We start from the raw sequence: 25,152 nt of genomic DNA on the forward strand, positions 1-25,152 counted from the left end.
TAATGTAATTGAAATAATTTACATAAATTTAAAGCGAAATCATTGTTAAAAAGAGGAAATAGCATCTTTAAATACCTACAGTGAATTACCAAATATCAATTATATAAAATATAAACTAATAAACAAGTTTAGTAACTTGTTTTCAGTAATAGGAAATAGGAATTTCAACATTATCTGTTTACCAAAAAACACAAAGATTGAAGAGTCACACCAGTAGCACACAAATATGATCAAAATTAACAGGCAAGCTATCAGAGTATTTTTCTTATAACACATGACATTATATATATTAAAGTGTACCTATTATGTTATTTACTTCTGCATCCAAAAGGTTCTACAGGGTAAGCCTAACATTTGTAGTGAAAAACCGGCCAATGGCATTAAGAAATTAACAATGAAAAGATTATAATTCTCATGCAATTTATTGTTCATAATATAGTGGCAGAAAATAGAAACTGGAATGTAAGAAAAATTTGAATTTTGAGATATAGTGGCTACCTTATATTTGTAAACATAATCAATACAATTAAATTCCATTCCACTCAGTAAAAACCCATTTGAAGCTTACTATGGGCCGGGCACTGTGCTAGCCCTAAAACAACTTAATGATAATGTTAATATAATGAAAATGAACAGCTAGCAATAGATTCCTTAAAAAATCCACCAGTAAAATCACAGAGCTCACATCTATGGTCTTTCAGTTAGAGAGTAATAAACTGATTTAAAACTATGAGCTATTTTCCCCTAGTTAGACCTATTAGCTATAAACACCTTTATACTGGGTGGGCAACAACAAAAACATAGAGAATAAAAGATCCACTAGAATACACAAAGTAAGCAAAATCTAATAACACAGCTGTCAAGAAAAGAATCACAGAATAATAATTTAAAATAGAAATTATATTTTGATGAAAACAATGACAGCATTTTTTTTTAAGAGAGCTCACATAACGTGTTCTTATTAGAAAACAAAAATATAGCATTTTATTCTGTGATCCTTTCTGGTTGCTTTTCAGTATTTACTGACCTGGTCAAAGACATTGAATGTGGGCTAGCAAAACAGAAAATACGATATGGGGAGAAAAGGTAAAGGTTCAATTAAAATAAATAATACATGTCCAACAATTATTTATTTATTTATTTTTTTAATATTGAGATGGGATCGTACTATGTTGACCAGACTGGTCTCAAACTCCTGGCCTCAAGTGATCCTCCCATCTCAGCCTCCCAAAGTGCTGGGATTACAGGCATGAGCTACCACGCCTGGCCTCAAACAAATATTTAAAAAGCAAAGCAGTGCTTTCAAAATAGCAGGAAAAAGAACTGCCTACCTTCATTGGAATATTTGTAATAGTAGTTGAAGCCAAGTCAAAATGTTGCTGTACTAAAATATTCAATTTGGTAGCAAGATGCCGTCCTGCACGAACACTATGAACTTCACTGGTTAAAACCGGGGACAACTACAGAAAAACATACAAGAAAAATAATCCACAAAATATTAATTCATTGTGACCTACTGCTAAATATTTTAGTATAAATCCATTAAAATTAAGTATTTTTAACTTTTTAGAAGTTGGAAAAAAAGGATCCATAAATTAACCATGACAATTATTTTAGCAATACATTTTCATGCATTCATTCACTCACCACATATGTATTAATCAGTTTGCTAGATACCAGAAACTGTGAGTATACAGAACACAGCAGTGAACAGACATAATCCCTGTCCTCCTGAAATTTAGAGTGAAATATTTAAATATATTTCTTTACAATTTTTACGTCTTTTTATCTATATGCAAAAATGATTTGAAGTACACTGCAGAAAAAATAATTTATTTTGTTGAGAGGACAAAACCCTGCAGATAAAACTAAAAGAATGAATGTGGAAATCGCCACAAAAATTTCATTCTGTCACCAATAAATAAGGCAGCTAGAAGTAGTGTACAACAAGATAACACAAAATCTTACTCATTCCAGGGCAATAATATTAATTACAAATAAGTTTTCATTATCATAAAATAAAACTAACATTGCCACATTATCAAAAGAGGCAGAAAAAAGTTAATAAAAAAGAGGCTTATGCTGGAAACCACTTAAAAACACAATGATGGCAATAATGACTAAAAATACCACTTAACTACAAAAATTCATGGACAAAAGTAATACTAGCGATGTTTATATTAAATAATGCAAAATGAAAAACCAGGACATATATCTATATTTCTAAACATAAATTACTGATAGAGAATATTATGATGTGGATCTATTTGACAATCAACAGGATCATCTATTCCTTTAAAATTATTCAAATTTATTTAAAAAGTAAAACCAAGGTTGGAAAATAAGATTTTTCCCTCTGAATGTGTAAAATTAATTTTTTATTGGAATATTTTTTGTTAAAGAGTGTATTGCTTTTCTAATAAGGAAAAAGATTTTTACAGAATAAAAATAATCACTAAAATAAAATTTTAGGAACAATACAAACTATGTATGGTTTGTAACACATTTTGATAAAATAAACAAACATGAAAAGGCAGGCAGAATAGGAAACACTTTAAAATCCACAATTATACCATAAAGAACCAACCTAGATGTCTTGACATAGAGGTTTACTTTGAAAACTCAAAATATTTTCTTGGCAGAAAATATTGGCAATGGATCATTTTAATGATAACCCTTCTCAGTATTTATTATTATTAACCACAATAGTCTTTTCTTTCATTATTTCAACACTCACCTCTTTTTTAGAACGATCAGATACAAGGCTGTCTTCACCAACTGGGTAGGTGTGGATCAAGACCAACTCACATTTTTGAATCTGCATGAGACTTAAAGAGAAATTTTTGACTTAAAATTTAAGAATACATAGTATGTAAAGAATTCAAGCAGGTAAACTACTAAAACCTTAACATATTAAAACATCATATTGCTACAATTAGATATTACTGTTAACCCAAAAGCTAAATATTAGAAAGGCAGTATATGTAATTGCTATACCTGTATGAACACTTAATGAGTATACAAATTTAATTTAAATGCAAAAAATAATAATTGTGAGTGTCTGAAGGATAAAGAGAAAACTCTTATAATTAAGTCTAATTTTCAATAGATAACTGCAACAGCGAAAATGAATATATTGTGTATTAATTTCCCTTATACTAATATTTCTTAAGGATAAAATCAGGCAATACTAACCATTAGCTATAATTAGTTATTTCCAAGTTATAGGATTGGTAATGCTAAAAATTTCCCCCAACTTTTTATTTTGAAATTTCCAGACCCACAGGAAAGTTGAAAGAAAAGTACTATTCAATGAACAACGTATGTCCTTCACCTAGAGTCACTGTTAGCTATATTTGCTTTCTCTATATACTATACTTAGGTAGATGTACACTTTTTAATTAAACCATTTGAGAGTAAGTTGCAGAGGGCTTGACGTGTAGTCCTGAACACTTCAGCCTGCTTCGCCTAGTGAGAACAATCCTACTCATAACAATAACACTATGACCGCACCTAAGAAAACTAATAATCACTCTAAAAAAGTCCACATTGCAATAGTTCCAAACATGTCTTTACTAGCTGTGACACAATCACAAATATACATATTGGTCTCTGCTCATGCTTCCTGGCACAGAGCTCCCAAAATCCTTGTAACTTCCTAAATGACAGGGGTGCTAGGAGCATCTTTTGCTCTAATATTTGGTTTCTGACCCCAGTTCTTGACACATAGCTCTTAAGTTCATTGGAATTTCCTGGATGACAGGAGCATCTTTTCTTCTACTGAGGCAACTTTAGTGGGATCCTGGACAGCTCCCCAATGGGGTCTGGTCACCAGAAAGAACAAGCAATGATTAGAAGCTCAGCAGCATTCAGCCCCACTCTGCTATCCTCCAGAGAGGGGACAGAAGCTAGATACTGAGTTAATAATCAATCACACCTACATGAAGCCTCCATAAAAATCCCTAAAGTATGGGGCTCAGAGAGCTTCTAGGTTGGTAAACACATCCATGTGCTGGGAGGGTGGTACACCCCAACTCCACAGGGACAGAACCTGATGCACTTGGGATCCTTCCAACCTCACCCACTTCATGTGTCTGTGCATCTGTATCCTTCATAATAAATCAGAAAACTGAAGTGTTTCCCTGAGTTCTGTGAGCCCATCAGAACAAAGTATTGAACATGAGGAGGGGGTTGTGGAAACACCTAACTTGTAGCCAAGTCAGACGAAAGTGTGGGGAACCACTAGTCGAGATTTGTGTCTAAGTGGGTTACAGTCTTGTGGAACTGAGTCTGCAATAACTAATCTGTGGGGTCTGTATTAACTCCAAGGATTGTCATAATTGAATTGTAGGACACACAGTTGGTATTCACAGAGTTGGAGAATTGGTGCGGAAGAAAAACCCACACATTTGATCAAAAGTACTAGTGTGAGTATAGAGGAAAAAAAACTGTTTTCCTTTTCAGAAACAGAAAAAGTTTTTTTAAAAAGTCACACAATGCAACTACTTATGTTTAGATGTGGTACATACTGAATAACGCCACTAACAACTTGCACATTTAACAATTTTTTAAAAATTTAAATTTAAATTAAATTAAATTAAATTTTTTTTGAGACATGGTCTTGCTCTGTCGCCCAGGCTGGAGTGTAGTGGCACAGTCTCGGTTCAATGCAACCTCTGCCTCCCAGGCTCAAGCAATTTTCCTGCCTCAGCTGCCTGAGTAGCTGGGACTACAGGCACATGCCACCAGGCCCGGCTAATTTTTATATTTTTTGTAGAGACGGGGTTTTGCCATGTTGCCCAGGCTGGTCTTGAACTCCTGAGCTCAGGTTATCTCTCCACTTCGGCCCCGCAAAGTGCTGGGATAACAGGCATAAGCCACTACACCCAACACATTTTACAAATTCGAAACACAACTATGAGAAAAAAACCATCAAAACAAATACACATTATAAATTTATGTATTATTTTATCCTTTTGATCACCTTTCTTGTGGGAGAAAAGTAAATTAAAGTGAAAGGGAAAATGGAAAAAAAAGTTTCTGATCAAACATACATTTTTTGACTAATTTGTTGAGTCAATAGAGAATTCAGGGAAACGCTACCAGTCAAGTTATTGGAAATAATTATAACATATATCTATCCACATGAACATATTTATTTCATTTATGAATTATACTCACTGATCTGAATTTGCAGCAAGCTTGTTATGTTCATGAATCGTTTCCTGGACACAGTCTTCAAGCATTCGCACATGACTATCACTATGGCATAAAAAAGATATAGCAAATTTAAAGGAATAAACAGTAACAGAAAAAATTCAAAACACTCTTCCGCTTTAATATGGTGTTATAGACATTTAAAGTTACTTCACTAAGGACTATCTTTAGTGTGCTAAGTCATACCACTAAACAACTAGCTGAAAAACCAGTGAGAAAAAATGTTAAATTTACCTACATGATGGCAATCTAAACAGTTTTCAATGAGATAAGTCTTTATTTTAGAATGGAACACAGCCTCAATATTAAAAGGCAAAAAAAAAAAAAAGAAAAAAATCAGAAAGGCCACTTGTAATATGCTTAAACGTAAACATGTAAACATGCTGTCTCTACTATTCTGAAAAACTACAACAGGATTTTAAAATTCCCACAGTGAAAGAATTGCTATAATCAACACCTCACCTTTTTGCATTAGTAATACAGATTATTCGTCCTCTATTTCCAACACGTTCTGCATTCTCCATGAGTAGAGTACGAGCCTCATGTTGGTATTCAGTAATTTTGCAGAGAGTTTCCACTGCTGCAACAAGGCCATGCAGAATACTGCAGCACTCTGGATCTGCCCGAGGATTAGGAGGCCCAACAGCGGCTAATGCTGCCATTAGCTAAGTAAAAGGGAAAACAATTATGTTGACAAGAGTATGTGCAATTCAGATAAAAATATCACAAGAAAGAAAACTACACACCAATGTATCTTACATATATGGACATGAACATTCTTAAAAAAATAGTAGCAAACCAAATCCAGTAACACACAAAGAATTATACACCATGAACAAGTGGGATTTATTCTAGGAATGCAAAGTTTATTTAATATGCAAATATCAATTATTACAATACATCATATATCAATAAAATAAAAATCACATGATCATCTCAATAAACACAGAAACAGCACTTGACAAGATCCAAAACCTTTTCATAATTAAAAAAATTAGCAACAGAAGGGAATTTCCTCAAGAAGATAAAGGACACCTATGAAAAACCTACTGATAACATCATACTTAATGGTGAAAGATTGGATGAATTCTCCCTACTTATCAGTAACAAAGATGTTTACTCTCATCACTTCCATTCAACACTGTACTGGAAGTTCTAGCCAAGGTGATAGGAAAGAAAAAGAAATAAAAGAAATTCATGCCAAGCCCAGCGGCTCATGCCTGTAATCCCAGTACTTTGGGAAGCCAAGGCAGGACAATTGCTCGAGGCCAAGAGTTCAAGACCAGGCTGGGCAACAAAGCAAGACACCGTTTCTATAAAAAGAAAAAAAAAAAAAAACTAAAAAATCAGCTAGGTGGGGTGATGTACACCCATAGTCCTAGCTACTTAGAAGACTGAGGCAGAAGGATCGCTTGAGCCCAGGAGTTCAGCCACTGAACTCTGGCCTAGGTGATAAACAGAGACAAGAAAGACAGAAAGACAGAAAGGAAGAAAGGAAGGAAGGAAAGAAGAAAGAAAGGAAGGAAGGAGAGAGAAAGGGAAGAAAGAAAGGAAGAAAGAGAAAGGAAGAAAGAAGGAAAAAGGGAAGGAAGGAAGAGAGAGAGAGAGGATGGACAGAATCCAGATTGGAAAGAAAGAGGTAAAACTCTATGTTGCAGATGACATGATCCTGAATTTACGAAATCCCAAGGTATCCACTAAAAAACTATTATAACTAATATACAAGTTCAGCAAACCTGTAGTATACAAGATTAATACACAAAAATCAATTGTATTTCTATATACTTACAATAATCTGAAGACTAAATTTTTTAAAATCCCACTTAAAACAGCATCAAAAATAAAATACTTAGAAATAAATTTAACAAGAACTATAAAACTTATACTCTGAAAACAACAAAACATTGTTGAAGAAATTAAAGATCTAAAAAATGAAAAAACATACCATGCTCATGGATTGGAAGAGTTAATATTGTTAAGATGGCCATATTATCCAAACTGACCTACAGTGTCAACATAATCCCCAACTTCTTTGTAGTAATTGATAACGTGATTCTAAAATTCATATGGAATTGCAAGGGACCCAGACTGGCCAAAACAATCTTCAAAAAGAACAAGGTAAGAAGAGTCACACTTCCTATTTTTAAAACTTACTACAAAACAATGGTAACCAAGATAGTACGGTACTGGCACAAGATAGACATAGAGACACAGAAAGGTTTAACATAGGGAAAAGGTGTGACATGGATAACCAAAGCTAAACATTAAATATAGACAAGATTATACACAATTTATACAAAATGTACATTCTTTTATACATTCTTGAACACCAGTGATTTGCTATATAGTTGCTTTCACAACTGGAGATTCCCCCTCCATTCAAAATTTAAAAGCAATGAATGGGATATCGTGTACCTTCACCTTGGGAAAGCAAAAGAAGTAATAATTCCTTTATGACTAGCATACCTATCCATCAAATGCACACTTTTACTGCACTGCAGAGGTGCAGTCAGTAGGTACAAATCTACACAGATATGTACTTATTTTTATTCATACACTACTAGAAAGCCTTCACACTTCTTTCACAGTACCTCTTGAAAAAGGTAAACACTTCTTTCACAGTATTTAAAAAAGTAAGGTGGAAACGTATGGAATTCTTAAAATTGTTTTTTCAGGTAATAGTATATTAAGAACATTCTGGAATGATATTAGTGCAAAGCCAAGCCAATCAAAGCCTACTGAGTGAATTACCTCAAAAGAATGAAAGGTTAGCTTTGTTTACATATATTATAATACTAATCACAAACATTTTAAGACCAAACAGTATGATAAAACACATTTTCTTTAAAAGCATTCTATTTAAAACTAACCTCGGAGAACAATAAAATAAAATTAAATTAAAAAAAAAAACAGAAAAAGAAGCCGGGCACGGTGGCTCATGCCTGTAATCCCAGCCCTTTGGGAGGCCGAGGCAGGCAGATCGCTTGAGGTTAGGAGATCAAGACCATCCTGGCTAACACAGTGAAACCCCATCTCTACGAAAAATACAAAAAATTAGCCAGGCATGGTGGCACACACCTGTAGTCCCAGTTACTTGGGAGACTGAGACAGGAGAATCACTTGAACCCGGGAGGCAGAGGTTGCAGTGAGCCAAGATTGCGCCACTGCACTCCAGCCTGGGCAACAGAGCGAGACTCTGTCTCAAAATAAATAAAAGAAAAAGAAAACAAACAAAAAATAATAAAAACACCTTGGATGGGATTGTTACCACTGCATAGCACCCGTTAACAAAAAAATTTTGGCATTAAATAATTCAAATAATGTATTCAATTATTTCACTAAAGCCTTGTTTCTCATGTTGTTCACATTCATCAGGGAAGGACCTTGTAGACTGAAGTCTTCTATCCAACTAAATGATGGCAAAGAACATAAGCTACTAGTAACTCAGTATCTTTAGACAAATAATGTTAAAACATAAACCTAACTAGTTGAGCATGAGTTGATTTCTGCTTCCTCCACTAAAATCGAAGTAAAAGATTTTACTTACTAAAAAACATAAACCCGGGCTGTGCGTGGTGGCTCACACCTGTAATCCCAGCACTTTGGGTGGCTGAGGCGGGTGGATCACCTGACGTCAGGAGTTCAAGACCAGCCTGGCCAACATGGTGAAACCTCATCTGTACTAAAAATACAAAAATCAGCCGGACGTGGTGGCAGGCGCCTGTAATTCCAGCTGCTTGGGAAGCTGAGGCCGGAGAATTGCTTGAACCTGGGAGGTGGAGGTTGCAGTGAGCCAAGATCGTGCCACTGCACTCCAGCCTGGGCAACAAGAGTGAAACTCAGTCTCAAAAAAAAAAAAAAAAAACACTCATAAACCAAAAAAGAAAGCATAAACCCACAAGCGTGAAGTGAGTGGAAGAAGAGACAACAATGAACAAGATAGACATCAACAAGAATATATAAAAATGGATGAAGGAGTGGTGATGAACTTAATAGGACTGAATATGCAGAAATCTAAGTGCCCATGGAAACTAAAAGGCAAAATAATCCAGGAGAAGTTCAGAACTGGAGAATCCAGGAGAAGTTCAAGAACTAGAGGCACCAATTACCAAACACAGTGGGGAAAGGCAAGATACTAAAAACGTCAATAGCTTGAAGTCAGTTTAAGGAACAACTTGACTCCCAGATCTTACTTACACCCTACCCGTGTAAGTGACTACATCTCCCCTACCCCACAAGATACAGAATCACATTCTTTGGAAGAACTGAAACTGAAAGGTATCAAATATGGATACCAAAAGCACATAAGAGAGTAAAGGTAAGATACTAAATCACTACTGCGCAATAGAACTTACTGCGATGATGGAAATGTTCTCTATCTGTGCTGTCCAATACAGTAGCCACTATCTATGTGAGGCTTACTGTGCATCTGAAATATGGCTACTGCTACAGAGGAAATGGTATAAACTTACCCTCTCCCGTCTCCCAGAGAGCTGACAACCAAGTTGTCATACAGATAAAAGAGTAGAAGAACAGTCCCAGAGAGACCATCTGTCAACTCCAATATTTGGAGGTTCCCTAGTGCAAACAATCAGCTAAAACTACAATGAAGTATATAGTCAGCAATACCTACTCCATAACATGTAGATTTTCTAATCTGCCATTTAGTGCCTTGCTTTTAAATAAGACTGTCTAGCTAACTATCAGCAGGCATTTAAGAAAAGCCTCAACATAAAAAAAGAACTGTGAGAACACAGAAGGCACAAAAGAAAACATCAAATAAACTAATGTTAATACCTGCAGGTAAAATTACACCCATAAAACAAGAAAAGGATATGACAAAAACAGACATAGTTAAGAGTATAAGTCAAAGTTCTTGGAAATTAAAAGTACAATCAAATAGAGAGTTCTATACAAGGGTTAAAAGCGTCAAAAAAGCAGAATGACTGACAATGAGATGATCAGTGAGAAAAACAGTAAGGAATTTAATGCAGGAGGTCTAACATCCCAGGAATGGATATTCCTGAAAGACACAGAACACAGAGACAAGAACATTATCAATGAAACAATGCAGGGGAAATTTCCCTGTACTGGAAAATACAAAGCCTAGCACAATGGATGAGAACAGACCAACACCAAGGCACACCACTGAGATTCTAACAGCTTTCAGTGCGAAATTATAAAGAAAAATGGTGTTAGGCTTCTCAGCATTGGAGGCTATAAAACACATAATTTTGTGGAGTATATAATGCCCTCAAAATTTTGAGGAAAAAGTTATTTCCAACACGGAATTTCTACACCCAAAGTATCAGCAAGGGGCAAGGTAAACTACAGGCAACCCGGAGGTTATGTTCTACCAAAACAAAAGATTACACAAAGAAAAAGAGAGGAAAAAAAATGGGATCTGAAAAATAGGGAGAGAAGGATGATAGGAGTGCAGTGGGCCTAGAAAGCAGCCAGTTCAAACTGGAGCAGAAGACTGTGCTCCAAGAAGTTCCTCAGGGGACAAAATCAAACTGCTGAATTATCTAACACATTTATGATCAAAATATTGGGCAGTTTTGTAGAAGCATGAGAAAAAGCAGCAATGGATATTATGAAAACAAAACACATGAAGGGGAGAAAAAGGAGATAATAAATAATTCCAGGAATAAACAAAAAGCTATATAAGGAACTAACCATATATATTACTTGGCTTAACAGTGAATAATACTTTACGTAGATGTTATAATGCCAACATGAAACTTTGAAATAACCAACAATTCTGACATATTAATATTGAGAACACAAGGGAAGGGGACAGGCATTAGACATATGAAGGTCAGAAGTTCAAGACCAGCCTGGCCAACATGGCTAAACCCTATTTCTACTAAAAAATACAAAAATTAGCCAGGCATGGTGGCACACACCTGTAGTCTCAGCTACTCGGGAGGCTTAGGCAGGTGAATCTATTGAACCTGGGAGAGGTTGCAGTGAGCCGAGATGGCGCAATGCACCCCAGTCTGGGTGACAGCAAGACTCCGTCTCAAAATAAATAAATAAGTAGATAAATAAACAGAGAACTCAATAAACAGGAATAAAAACATGTTATTTAGAAATCTGGAAGTAAATATGACAACTACTAAAAAATGGAAGTTTGCTTGGGGGTGCTGGGTGTAGGGAAAGCCTAGAATGGGGATAGCTGTTTTCATATGACTTGGCATTTTAACACTATATGCAAATCCTAGAGTGATTTAAAAAATTAGTCATTTTTTTAAAAAGTATTACCACATTTAGATAATTTACAAATGGCCACAGCTCAAAATCTAACCATACCTCCTGTAAATTTTGGTCTTCTTGAGTCCAAGAATTTAAAACATGTGCTCCAGAGTCACTCACAATAAAATTCACCTAATAGATTCCAAAGAAACAATTAGTATTCAACTCTAATTTCACTCAATCACCAACATATTTTCAAGTAATATGCAATTTGTAACACTGTTTCACTGATTCATTCATTCTTCTTTTTATAGTTACAGAATGTGTAGTATATGCCAGGTGCTATTGCTGGCACTGAGTACATGGGAATAGAGTGATGAATAAAAAAGTTCTGTCACTCACAATGTGGGGAAAGTCAGGGGAGGGGAGTCTACTAGGACAGAAGGCACTGCGGGAAGAATACAAACAAATAAATGAACAAGATAATTTCAGAGAGTGATAAACGCTATGAAAAATAAGTTAATTAGCTACTTTAGATTAGGTGGTTACAGAAGGACTCTCCATAGAAGTGGCAACTGAAGGCAATCCAAAACCAGCCACCGTAAAGTCAGGGATAGACAATCTGGGTACGGCAAATAACAAATGCAAAGGCATCTAAGCATATACCCTGGAAAGGGTGAAAGTCAGAGCAGGCAGTGGGAGAGGAGACAAACTCAGAGAAAGAGGCAGGAGCTGGATCATATAGGGCACCGAAAGCCAAAATAATGGATATGGTCTTTACGCTAAGTTTTAAAGTAAAATGCAAATTTGAAAATTTAAAATTACCTGCTATCAGGTAAGATAATGACAAAGAACATTTTGGAAAACTTATCAAATGATGATTCTGACCCATGTTCCTTTTTGGCTAGAGGGTTAGATTTCTTTCTTTACTCTGGACAACACGATCTAATCTATGATCTTTTTCCCTATATATCGATGAAATACCAGTTTTCCTTCCTCCCCCAAGAAGTTTGATAATTGGTCTTCTCTTCCAAGGCTTATCTGACAGGGATATATTTTACAAGTCACTTTACGTAGATTTATCTCTTTTAAAGCTTACATCGAGGAAGTAAGTGTTATACTTACACGGGAGGAAACTGAGGCTTGGAGAGATTAAGAAATATGATCAAAGTCACACAGCTAGTAGTTAACCACGCCAAGGTCTGAACCGAAGCCTGCGCTCCAAATCAGTTACATTCCCTCTCATTATATATTTTTATCACACACAGAATGCACACAAATTTTAAGAAGGGCTTATATTTTAATTTGGAATATATGTGAATGTATAATATCAGACTATGTTCACCTTTACTCTACTGCCCTACCTTCCTCAGTCTAAGAATTGGCTAGGTCCCAGCGCTTCGAGTAAGACAGAAAGCAAGTCTTCCACTTGTGGCTAAACAAATGACTTTCCCAAAATAAGACATTTAAGATACTGAAATCTAAGATTAAACTTTAATACCTGTAATTTCTGTCAATCATCCATTTCTCTTCTTACTGATAAACCATATCCACTTAGCATTCTTAAAAGTATTTCTTTCTAATATGGCCAAACAATACAGCAGTTTAGTATATATTTGCTAAAATTGCAAGCAGCTAGCCAGCTTAGGTTCAAATTCTGGCTCTGCCTCTACGTAACTATGTGACTCAGGACAAGTTTCTTCTCTTTACCTCAGTTTCCGGATCTGCAACAGGGAAGCAACAAACAAGACTGACAGTCAGCTGCTACATGCCAGCACAGTTTGACAGCAGCTCTCAATGGTCAGTCTGTGTTCTATACTGGTTGTTACATACTTTGAATATTGCTTCAATAACTACAGTTCCTACCTAACATGACTGTTATGAGAATTACGGAAATTAATAAATATGAAGCACTTTGAAATATGTCTGGCACATGTAAAGTGCTCAATAATTGTTAGCTGTTATTATTACTGGCCCCAATTAAATATCCATTATATATTAATCCCAAAGGGCAGCGTTATGTACCACATTTTTAAGTAATAAACACACAGTCATTATCTATAGCAAATTCATATAAAAATTCATTTATGCAGTTAAGTACATCCCCAAAATCATGATTTTGTTTGTACTTCACACTCACCAGCTTTTTGAAAGGAAATATATCATACATTATTCTACAATATTCCATGGAAGATTCTACTGAGCAAGTCCACAATGATTTAGATATGGGGGCCAAAGGAATGATTCCTTGGGTTCTATTCTTCACCAGCATATCAAACTCGACATGCTGCCTGCAAGATTCTGCCATATAAGGGCAGTGATCCACAACAAACACTGTTTTATGAGATTCAGAAAAAATCTTCATTTTGTTTTAACCTGTAAGGGGAAAAACATATTAGCCAAATATTTGTACATAACATCTTACATTTTTTCTAATTTTCTCAAGAAGATTGTCTTTCCCTCAAGAAGACTTGGTAGGGAACATGAATAATATGTTCAAAGAAATCTGTCCGACAAAGGACAGTTTAATGAGGTCATGACCAGAAAGCAAGGGTATCAATACACCATATTAGGCTGTCACTCTACCAGGCCCAGACAAAAATACCAGTGCATGCATTTTTGGTTTTGCTTTTAAAATGAACTTAAAATTGTCAGAGGGAAACATTTTGACATTTAATTGTATTTGATTCCCTTACATATACGAAACATAAGTGACAAAGACTCTTGAAATACAACTTTATGATCCTTGCTAATTGACATTAGTCACATATAAACCCCAAGCCAGCATTTTTGCACTTCCCTCCAAGAAAAACGTTTGAAGGGGGACTGGCGGGTAGGGGTGCGGAATTAACAGGAAAGAGGAGTGACAGCAAAAGAAAAGGCCAAAACAAAGATAAACATCTCCTAAGATAACCGCACATCAGGTCTTCGCCTTAGGATAAGGACCCCAACTTCACACTCTCCCCTTAGCTTTTGAAACATCACAGTAATTTACCAGGTAGAGCAGAAAAACTTAGTTGTTACCATCACACTGGTGTGTAGAAGGAAATTTAAAACTTTTAAAACTTTTTCTTATTAAAACAGAGCATACGGTACTCCCCTGCTTCGCTAACAAAATCTTATACTGAATAGACAATCCACATTCGAAAAGCACATGGCAAGCAAAGCCAAAGTGTTAAATCAAAACGAACTGATTTCTTACGATCCAGCTATTTTCACCTCTTGCTTTCAAGACGCATCTCCCCTTCATGCAAAACTCTCTTTGAGAAACCTTCTAGACCCACTTTGCTGGAGGGTGGGGGGTGGAAAATACAAGGTGAGTGGATAGGGAAGACCTCAGGATCGAGGTTCGCTTACTTTCGTGCCTGGTCCTGCAGTGAAAACGAACAGAGGCTATGGACCACAGCCTCTCTGGAAAAGGCTGCTGGCTGGGCGGGGAGAGTCAGCGCACAGTCGGGAGTGTCTGGTGCCACAGACAGGGGACTATGCTTTCCCCGATCATCTCCTAGCACACCGGTCCTTCCCAGGCTTCCTAAGAGCAGGAGCGCGCGTGCGCGTGCACACACACACACGCACTCGGGCTCGCGCGTGCGCACAGCGCTCTCCGATAGCCCGGCCAAGCCTCCCTTCCCCCTCGTAGGGCCAGGCGTCCCAGTCGCCGAACAGGAAGAGGGCGGGGCCAAGGAGGAAAAAAAAAGCCTCCACCCCTCGAGATTTTCCACCCGCTAATTTTCCCAGTCACCCATTGGGAAGCAGGATCTGGGCGACCTGAAAGCCTCCCCAACAGCGAAGTACCAACCACGGCCCCCTAAGCGTACGACCCACCCACCCGGTCTCCCCTTCTCTGTCTCTCCACCCAGGCCGGTTTCCCCTGGAAAAACTCGCGAGACTTTGCGAGAGGCCGAGCGAAAGCCTGGGAAGGGAGGAATAGGGAGGGACATAGAAGGGCCCCGCCCTGCCTTCTGGGGCAAAGCGGAGAGTGGTCGGTTCTGCCCCACAGTAACGCGAGGAAAGAAATCTCGCGAGGCTGGAGTTCTCCGGGAGCGCCGGTCGGAGGCGGTCGGCGGAGGTGTCTACCCCGCCGGTGATGGCGTTGAACGCCACTGGCTTCCCGGCCTTCCGTCCGCTGCCTCCGTCCGATTCTGCGTCTGCTTGCTGAGGAGGCGGATTAGGGGGGCGCGGAGTCTCTTCCCTTGAGTGCATAGGTCCCGGTTGGTAGAGGGTTTGAGTCCGCATCGCCACAGCTGAAGGCTGCGAGGGACTAAGAGCAGAGTAAGTGGACTAAATCCAGGGACGGGAGCAGGGGTGGGCGAGTCGGAGGCGTCCTTTGCCGGGGCAGTCCTTCGCCGGGGCCGGTGCCTTGCGCCTCTTGAACCACCGGCGCCCGGCCCTGTCCGCTTCCCGCCGCGGGCTCCCTGCTCCTGGGAGCCGGACTTCCTCTCCGCGCCCCCCGACTCCGAGCTCCTCTTAATGGAGATGCGGTGCGGAAAGTTCAATGAAAAGCCTTGGCTCTAACCCTGTGGACACACCTTCCGTATCTGCTTTCATCCTGCCTTACCCACCTGCGAGTTCACCACCGGACGGGGGACCCTTTCAGTCACCTGTTTGCAGCGTTTAATGAAGATAACTTGTTTCTTGAAACTGCTCTCCAAGGGGTATTACTCTTTTCTGGTTCTCTTCCTGCCTTTCTTCTCTATCCCATCTCTGATAATGGTTCCAGTATCTGTCCTGCTATCCGAACTAGAAAACCAGGAATCATCATTGGTTCTTCATTTCCACTTAACACTGCACTGTATTATTTTTTTTTTCGCCAGAATTAGTGCGGTTGCCCCCTCTGCCCCCCGCCCTCCACTGGTTTCCCTACTATAATCCTTCCATAGAGTTATTCTGAAATACATATTTATCTCTGTCCTTTCCTTAAACTTTTTAGTAACCGTATTGCTGACAGCATCAAATCCTAATTGTTAAGCACATCATCATTCAGGATCTTTTACAGTCTGCCCCAATCCATTTTACCTTTTAGTCCTGCTTTAATATCCTACCATACAAGACTATACTGGCTATTTCCCCAAACATGCCATGCGCTTTGACAGCTCTGTACTTTTGTACGTGCGGATGTCTAGGATGTTTACTGTTCCTCTATTTTACCACCTGTCAAAACCCAATTCATAAATCATTGTCTTCTCAGACTCCCCCAGGTGACATTGATACCGCTGTGCTCCCAACGCATTTGAAACTTTTCTTCTGCAGTATTTATTAGGTTGTATTATTTGTTTCTGTCTCTCCTGCCAATTTGAACCTGGGTCTGTCTGGAATCATGTCTTACTCATCTCTGAGAAAAAGTCCAGTACTTGGCACATAGCAAGCATTATTTATATATACATATGTATGTTTATTGAAATGGAATAGTTCTAAGGAATTCACCGTAAGAGTTCTTCATCCTTTAAAATCATAGAATTTTGGGCCAGAAGGAACTCTGTACATTAGCTTAAAGGTCCCGACCTATTTTGATTATGAGAAACCCTGTACTTCTAATACACATGCAATTGGACTTTTAGTAATTGTTGGTTGAAATTATGTATAATGACAGAAAACTACTATGCTTTTAAATGATTTTGTATTTTATTTTTACAGTATCTATTTATATTTGAGAAATGGAGCAGAAATGTTTTAGACTACAGACAGTGCTTGGAGTATGTGCATTCAGGCAACTCTTCTACTGACTCCTTAGCCTGTAGGTTAGAAATAACTGGTTTAGATTAGGTTAGTTCCTTCTTGAACTGTCACAACTCTTTGAACATATGTATGTGAAACTTATATTCAGCCACAATTCTAAGGGAACGTGTAATTTTAAAAAAATCCTCCAGTGTCATTACTTCCAAAATCTTTCTTCCAAGTTTAAAAATTAATTTTCTTCAGAAAGTGTCTTTATACAGTTCCAAACATGTATTCATTCCACTATTTTCAAGGACAGTGAAAATTTTCTTTGCTTTCACATACAGCGATGTGCCTTTATAAATGCTTATTTTTATATGTAATTTATATGCGTTCTTTCTTGCATTCATAAGATTATAAGTTTATATGAAAACCATAACTATACCTTTTGGTTTTTTTATTTCCATATGGGTCAGTTCATATTATGTACTAATTAATATTAGAGACACATACCTGAACATGAAAAAATTTAAACTAGATTGTTGACATTTAAAGACAGATCTGTGGTGTATCAGTAGCCACAATATTTCTGTGTAGATGTAGTGGTAGGAGTAGTGGATTTGCAGATAAGGGAAACAGAAGTGTCCAATCAGTAAACATTCATTGATCTTACAATTAATGTGATGCCTAATTAAAATGGTTGCTAGGCTTTTATTAATTACCTAGAAAATATTTGAAATTTTTTTCGTCTTTAATTTCTCTTACATTTCATTTATATTCCTATTTATTTTCTGAGGTTGGCTTGAAAATTTTGACTTGAATTTCCTTAAATTTTTCTTAACCAAAATCTAAAAGTAAACAGCTGGCAGTTGCTGTCTTGGGTGGGTGGTGGTTTCTCTTTTATCAGCAGCAGAATGTTCTAAGCCTTCTGCCAGGAGTCTGACTGCAAAAGTCTTTGGGTGGTAAAGTGGGCGAGAATGTGACTAATGCAGAAAAGAAAAAAAAATTTTTTAACTTGCTAAAAAAAAAAAGAGATTCACCTGTAATTTGGACCCGCCTATAGAAAATAATGTAAGTAAGTGTATTATGGCCAGTTAAGGTAGGCACTATAAAAATAGGCCGAAAAGTTTAGAATATTCCTTTTTTACTGTAGTCTGTTTTTTAAAATTTGAAACTTGTTAGAGAGTTTGGAAAACAGTCTTCTTCCTCCCACTCCACTTCCTGGCCAAAAAAGAGGGGAAGCACAATGGTCTTCAAAAAAGGTGATAAAGTAAATGCATATTATAAAATATTTTAAACTTTTGTGTGTGTGGTTTCACGTACAGGAAATGAACATGCAAATTCTTAGAAACTGTTGTCACTGTGTTTCTGAAATGCTAAAAAAAATTATGCTTTGAGCTACCTGCTGCTTATAATTCCTTTCCCTGAATAGGTAGGTTTTTATAGTTAACAAATTTTAAATGTAGTTGATTTTGATAGTAGTATTTCATTATGCAATCTGGAGAGGAGAGAGTGTTTTTCATAAAGTGGATATTAATTACAACTTTAAAAAGCCAATCAGTAAACATTCATTGATCTTGTAATTAACTGTGACACCTAATTAAAATGGTTGCTAGGCTGTTATGTCTGGAAAATATTTGAAATTTTTTTATTCTTTAAAATCTGTCTTCATATACATTCCCATTTCTTTTCTATGGCTGGCTTGAAAATTTTAAAAAATATCTTGGATGTTCCATGTGTTGGGTAGGGTCAGAGAACTTACTTTTTTTCGTTTTCCACCTGATGAGATTGAGATTATTTCTATACAGGTAAAAAGCAAACAGGACCCTGGGAATCCAGTGTGGCTTAGGAATAGGACACTAGACTGGGGATCAGAAATTCTATTTTTGGTACTAGTTTGGCTCTTTCCTTGCTTTGTGGTGCTGTCATTCAGCTTTGTTGGTTTGTTTGTTTGTTTGTGATGGAATCTTGCTCTGTCGCCCAGGCTGGAGTGCAATGGTGCGATCTCGGCTCACTGCATCCTCCACCTTCCGGGCTCAAGCAGTTCTCCTGCCTCAGCCTCCAGAGTAGCTGGGATTACAGGCGTGCGCCACCACACCCAGCTAGTTTTTGCATTTTTAGTACAGACAGGGTTTCACCATGTTGGTCAGGCTGGTCTCGATCTCCTGACCTCGTGATCCACCCGCCTTGGCCTCCCAAAGTGCTGGGATTACAGGCGTGAGCCACTCAGCTTTTTAGATTTGGAATTCCTGGGTCTATTTTCTCATTGGTAAAGTGGGAATAACACTTGTCCTCTTGCCCAAATGACAGTATAAGGTAGTTAGTTATTGCTCAGATTCAGAAAGCTACCAACAGTTTGAATTAATTAAAATTATTACGTAACAGTTTGATTTTCCTCTAGGGTACTCTAGAGATCCATTTGGATAGAATTAGGTTAGAGAGAAGGCAAATAGGTGAAGCAATTTTAAAGAAGAAAACAGTGACTTATACATATTAGATAGGGAGAGTTTATTTTACAGCTGTTACATTTGAGGCAATGTGGTATTGATGCAGAAATAGATAGTCATTTTAAGAGGACAGGTTTCATGATGGTTCTAATTGCATTTCTCTAATGGCTAATGATGTTGAACATCTTTTCATGTTTCTTATTTGTCCATATCTTTTTGGTTCACTAGTAAAGTCTTTTATTCATTTTTATTTGGGTTATTTTCTTATTGTTTTGAGAGACTTTTTTGTATTCTAGATACAAGTCCTTAGTTGGATAAGTGATTTGAAATATTTTCTCCCAGCCTGTAGCTTGTCTTTTCAAACTCTCTAAACAGTGTCTTTCCCAGAGCAAAAGTTTGTGATTTTGATGAGGTCCAGTTTATCAAATTTTTCTTTTATGAATCATGCTTTTAGTATCATGTTTACAAAAACCTTTGCCTAACCCCAGGTCACAAAGATTTTCTCTTATTTTTTTCCTGAAAGTGTTATTGTTTTTAATTTTATATTTAGACTTATGGTCCATTTTGAGTTAATTTTTGTATTAAGTGTAGGAATTATGTTGGGATTAAACTTTTGGCATATAGATGTCCAGTTCTTCCAACACCATTTGTTGAAAAAAGCCAACCTTTCTCCTTTGACTTGCCTTTGCACCTTTTTCAAAAATCCATTGGCCATTTTTGTATGGCCCTGTCTCTAAACCTTTTCTGTTTCTATCAGCTCTATGCCACCTTGATTGAAGTAGCTTTATAGTAAGTCTTAAACTTTGGTAGTGTGAAAAAAACTGAAAACAAATAGTTTCTTCAACTTTTTTTGTTTTCATAGTTGTTTTGTTGTTATCTAGTTTCTTTGCATTTCCAAGCTAATTTTAGAATTAGCTTGTCAATTTCTCTAAAAAAATCTTGCTGGGACTTTGACTGGAAATTGCACTGTTTGTACAACAGTTACAGAAAACTTGACATTTCGGCTGGGTGCAGTGGCTCACACCTGTAATCCCAGCACTTTGGGAAGTCAAGGCAGGAGGATCACTTGAGGTCAGGAGTTCGAGTCCATCCTGGCCAACATGACGAAACCCCATCTCTACTAAAAATACAAAAATTAGCTGGGCGTGGTGGCGCACGCTTGTAATCTCAGCTACTCTGGAGGCTGAGGCAAGAGAATCGCTTGAACCCAGGAGGCGGAGGTTCCAGTGAGCCAAGATCGTACCGCTGCACTCCAGCAGCCTGGGCGACAGACTAAGACTCTGTCTCAAAAAAAAGAAAAAGAAAACTTCCCTACTATGTTGAGTCTTCCAGTCCATGAACACAGTATGTTTCTCCATTCTTTTAGATCCTCTTTAGTTTCTTTCATTAGCATTTTGTAGTTATCAGCAAACAAATTTTGCATATGTTTTAATTTGTGCCCAGGAATCTCAGGGTTTGTTTTTTGTGTTTTTTTGTTGTTGTTGTTTTGTTTTGTTTTGCTATTGTAAATGTGTGTTTTAAAAAAAAAAGTTTTGGTTTCCATTTGTTTGTTGCCAGTATATAGAAAAACAGTTGATTCTTATGCTTGTATCCTGTGACATTGCTAAAATCATGTAGTAGTTTTAGGAGTTCTTTTTTGGATTCTTTGGGGTTTTCTACATAGACAACAATGTTGGTTGTGAAAAGGGGCCGTTTTATTTCTTCTTTTCCAGCCTGTATGGTTTTTCCCCCCTTCCTAGCCTTATTACACCAATGTATTGAACAGGACTGGTGACTGCAGACATCCTTCCCTTGTTCCTAATTTTATTGGGAAAGCAGTCAGTCATTCATTATGAAGTATGACGTTTGCTGTAAGTTTTCTGAAAATGCCCTTTCTCAGTTTAAAAAAATCCTCTTCTAGCTTGCAGAAAATTTTTATTATGAAAGTATGCGGAATTTTTTAATAATATGCCAGTTGGTATGCATAAGTGATTTTCTTCTTCAGTGGATTACATTGGAGACAGCCTTGAATCTGGGATAAACTCCCATTGGTCAGGGTATATTACTCTCATTATGAGTTGCTGAATTTGAGTTACTAATATTTCCTTAAGGATTTTTTATTTATGTTAATGAAGGATATTAGTCTGTGGTTTTCTTGTATTCTCTTTGGTTTTGGTATCAGTAATACTGACATCAGTTTATGAGATTAAAATTACAAGTATTTCCTTTTCTATTATTTTTTTAAGAGATTGTATAATAATTGGTGTTATTTCTTCTTTAAATGTGTGATAGAATTTGTCCTTGAAGCCATCCAGGTCTGGAGATTTTTTGCAGAAGATTTCTAATTACAAATTCAGTTTCTTAAAATAATTATAATAGGATTATTCATAGTTGTCTGTTTCATCTTGTGTGACTTTATGTAGTTTGTGTTTTTTGAGGAATTAGTCCATTTCATTTAAATTATCCAATTCATGTGTATGGAATTTATTATTGTGTTCACTTATCCTTTTAAGGAATTAGAGGTCTGTAGTGATGTCTCATCTTTCCTGATATCCCTTCTTTCCATTAGTAATTTATGTCTGCTGACTTTTTTTCTTGGTTAATTTTTCAGGAGGTTTTTCAATTTTTATTTTTTTCCAAGGACTGGCTTTTTATTTCATTAGGTTTTCTCTGTTGCTTTCTTGTTCTCAATTTCGTTGATTTCTACTCTTTATTATTTCTTTCTATTTACTTTAGGTTTATTTTGCTCTTCTTCTCCAGGTTCCTAAAGGTTGAGGCTTACATAATTGATTTGAGATCTTTCTAATTTTCTAATATAAACATTTAATGCTATAAATTTGCTTCAAAGTAGAGTTTTACATACATGCCAAAATTTTTGATATTTTGTATTTTCATGTTTATTTAGATCAAAGTATCTTCTAATTTCCAGAAACTTCCTTTTTGACTTATTATATAGAAGTACATTGTTTAACTTCCAGATGTTTGGAGATTTTTCTTGTTATCTCTTAATTACTTACTTTAGTTTAATTTCATTATAATCAGAGAGCATAATTTGTACTGGCTAGGCGTGGTGGCTCACGCCTGTAATACCAGCACTTTGGGAGGCCTAGGCGGGCAGATCACCTGAGGTCAGGCGTTCAGGACCAGCCTGGCCAACGTGGTGAAACCGCATCTCTACTAAAAATACAAAAATTAGCCGGACATGGTGGCATGAGCCTGTAATCCCAGCCACTCGGGAGGCTGAGGCAGGAGAACCGCTTGAACCCAGGAGGCAGAGGTTGCAGTGAGCCGAGAATGTGCCATCGCACTCCAGCCTGGGCAACAAGAGTGAAACTCCGTCTCAAAAAAAAAAAAAAAAAAGCATAATTTGTATGATTACAGTTCTCTTAAATTTGTTAAGGTTTGTTTTGTGATCCAGGATGTGATCTATCCTCATGAATATCTTGAGCACTTAAAAAGAATGTGTACTCTGCTGTTGTTGGTTGTAGCATTTCATAAATATCAATTCAAGCCAGTTAGTGGATGCTGTTCATTTTGCCTATATTGCTGATTTTTGTGTACAAAGTCTGCCAGTTACTGAGAAAGGAATGTTTAATTTTTCAGCAGTAAGGGTGGATATGCCTATATATCCCTTCAGTTGTTTGAGTTAGTGCATTTGTATTTTGAAGCTCTTTAATTATAGTTGTATATACATTTAGGATGCTTATGTCTTCTTGGTGATTGGGCATTTTATCATCATGTAATGTTCCTCTGTCCCTGGTAATTTTCTTTTCTCTGAAGTTTACTTTGTCTGATATTTATTTATTTTTTGAGGCAAGTCTCACTTTGTTGCCCAGGCTAAAGTTTAGTGGCGTGATTGTGGCTCACTGCAGCCTCAACCTCCTGGGCTTAGGTGATCCTCCTACCTCCACCTCCCAGCTAGCTGCGACTGCAGGTGTGTACCACCACGCCCGGTTAATTTTTTGTATTTTTAGTAGAGGTGGGGTTTGGCCATGTTTCCCAGGCTGTTCTGGAACCCCTGGCTTCATGATCTGCCAGCCTTGGCCTCCCAAAGTGCTGGGATTATATGGGCGTGGGCCACTGCGCCTGACCTTGTCTGATATTATATAGCCACTCTAGCTCTTTTCTTAAATATAACACCTTTATTGAGATATGTAATTCACATACCATACTATTCACCTATTTAAAGTGTACACTTTTAGGGTTTTCAGTATATTCAGAGTTGTGTAACCATCAACAAAATTGATTTTAGAACATTTTTCCCGCGCAAAAAGAAACCGTATGTTCATTAACAGTCACTTCCCATTCCTCCTTCCTTTTCCTAATCCCTCAGTCCTAGACATCCACTAATCTACTTTCAGCCTCTGTGGATTTGCCTCTTTTGGACACTATATAAATGGCGTGATACATTGTCTTTGTGACTGACTTCTTTCACTGAGCATAATTTTTTCAGTTTTCATCCATGTTGTAGCCTGTTTCAGGGCATCATTCCCCCCTACTTTTTTTTTTTTGCCAGATATTCCACTGTATGAACACATCATATTTACTCATTTATCAGTTGAATAATATTGCTGTGAACATTCATGTACAGTTTTTTGCATTGACATACTTTCATTTTCCTGGTATGTACCTAGGAGTGGAATTGTTGGATCACATGTTTAACCTTTTGAAGAACTGTCAGACTTTTCCAAAGTGGCTATACCATTTCACATTCTTTATATCCTAGCCAACACTTACTATCTTTTCTATTATAGCCATCCTAGTAGGTATATCTCATTGTGGTTTTGAATTGCATTTCAGTGATGGCTAGTTATGTTGAGCATGTTTTCATGTTCTTATTAGCCCTCTGGTTTTCTTTTGACTAATATTTGTACAGTATATCCTCTTTTCCATCCTTTTAACTTTTTTTTTGGAGGCAGGGTCACACTTTGTCACCCAGGCAGGAGTGCAGTGGCACAGCCAGGGTTGACTGCGCCCTCACCGTTCCGAGTAGCTGGGACTACAGGCATGTGCCACCACACCCAGCTAATTTTTAAATTTTTTGTAGAGACAGGGTTTTGCCATGTTGCCCAGGCTGGTCTTGAATTCCTGGGCTCAAGCAATCCTCCGATTTTGGCCTCTTAAGGTGCTGGGATTACAGGTGTGAGCCACTATGCCCGGCCTGTCCTTTTACTTTTAACCTACCCATATCATATTTAAAGTGAATTTTATATAAACAATGCATAGTTGGGTCCTCTTTTAAAATTCTGATCATCTGTCTTAATCTTATCTAAATATAAATGTCGAGGACATTTATATTTAGTGAAATTATTAACATGTTTGGATTTAGTTCTGCCATCTTATCATTTGTTTTCTTTTTGTTCCTTTGATATTCCTTTGTTTTGCCTTTTCTCTGTCTTTTGGGTTATTGAACACTTTTTAATTCATTTCAATTAATCTATTGTAGTTTTGACTATTATCTCTGTGCAGTTATTTTAGGGATTTATTAGGAATTACAATATATGTAAATTTTTAAGTCTACTTAAAATTGATATTTTTACAACTTCAAGTGAAATGTAGAAATCTGATCAATGTATAGGCCTTTTTAGCCTCCTCCCTTTTTCTTGTAGTTATATATTTGCCTGCATAAATTAAAAATCTCATTAGATAAATGTTA

General features: G+C 37.1%; 2 protein-coding genes across 19 annotated transcripts in view, besides 4 other annotated features; one reads left to right on the forward strand and one right to left on the reverse strand.

Annotated features, from left to right (window-relative positions):
• The window catches only part of INTS13 (integrator complex subunit 13), a 33,152-nt gene extending 17,843 nt beyond the window's left edge, over positions 1 to 15,309 (reverse strand). For 7 of the 16 annotated variants that reach the window (XR_007063105.1, XM_017019636.3, XM_005253422.5 and 4 more), the window contains exons 1-7: positions 14,773 to 14,958; positions 13,556 to 13,791; positions 11,533 to 11,607; positions 5,680 to 5,882; positions 5,182 to 5,262; positions 2,738 to 2,828; positions 1,332 to 1,460 (exon numbers count right to left, since the gene is read on the reverse strand). Coding sequence is in view for 15 of the 16 variants with exons in the window: in XM_017019636.3 (XP_016875125.1) it covers positions 1,332 to 1,460; positions 2,738 to 2,828; positions 5,182 to 5,262; positions 5,680 to 5,882; positions 11,533 to 11,607; positions 13,556 to 13,780 (804 nt within the window). In the remaining variant the exon portion in view is untranslated. Of the gene's footprint in view, positions 1 to 1,331; positions 1,461 to 2,737; positions 2,829 to 5,181; positions 5,263 to 5,679; positions 5,883 to 11,532; positions 11,608 to 13,555; positions 13,792 to 14,772; positions 14,959 to 15,244 lie in introns of those variants that run through there. The other 9 variants (XM_047429146.1, XM_017019635.2, XM_017019632.2 and 6 more) reach the window with 3 other exon arrangements.
• Positions 15,263 to 15,772: an enhancer, noted in NCBI's record as "H3K27ac hESC enhancer chr12:27091219-27091728 (GRCh37/hg19 assembly coordinates)". NCBI's record gives its function as "activates a minimal SCP1, AML or CMV promoter by ChIP-STARR-seq in naive and primed H9 embryonic stem cells {active_cell/tissue: H9 hESC(naive and primed)}" and the evidence as "EXISTENCE:reporter gene assay evidence [ECO:0000049][PMID:30033119]".
• The window catches only part of FGFR1OP2 (FGFR1 oncogene partner 2), a 28,179-nt gene continuing 18,473 nt past the window's right edge, over positions 15,447 to 25,152 (forward strand). For all 3 annotated transcript variants that reach the window (NM_015633.3, NM_001171887.2, NM_001171888.2), the window contains exon 1: positions 15,447 to 15,687. The gene's annotated coding sequence lies outside the window, so the exon portion shown is untranslated. The remainder of the gene's footprint in view (positions 15,688 to 25,152) is intronic.
• Positions 15,501 to 15,550: an enhancer, noted in NCBI's record as "active region_6130". NCBI's record gives its function as "activates an Ori minimal core promoter by ATAC-STARR-seq in GM12878 lymphoblastoid cells {active_cell/tissue: GM12878}" and the evidence as "EXISTENCE:reporter gene assay evidence [ECO:0000049][PMID:35858748]".
• Positions 15,773 to 16,281: an enhancer, noted in NCBI's record as "H3K27ac hESC enhancer chr12:27091729-27092237 (GRCh37/hg19 assembly coordinates)". NCBI's record gives its function as "activates a minimal SCP1, AML or CMV promoter by ChIP-STARR-seq in primed H9 embryonic stem cells {active_cell/tissue: H9 hESC(primed)}" and the evidence as "EXISTENCE:reporter gene assay evidence [ECO:0000049][PMID:30033119]".
• Positions 15,811 to 15,880: a silencer, noted in NCBI's record as "silent region_4306". NCBI's record gives its function as "represses an Ori minimal core promoter by ATAC-STARR-seq in GM12878 lymphoblastoid cells {active_cell/tissue: GM12878}" and the evidence as "EXISTENCE:reporter gene assay evidence [ECO:0000049][PMID:35858748]".

Source organism: Homo sapiens, chromosome 12 (genome assembly GCF_000001405.40).
Source record: "Homo sapiens chromosome 12, GRCh38.p14 Primary Assembly".
Taxonomy (NCBI): Eukaryota; Metazoa; Chordata; class Mammalia; order Primates; family Hominidae; genus Homo; species Homo sapiens.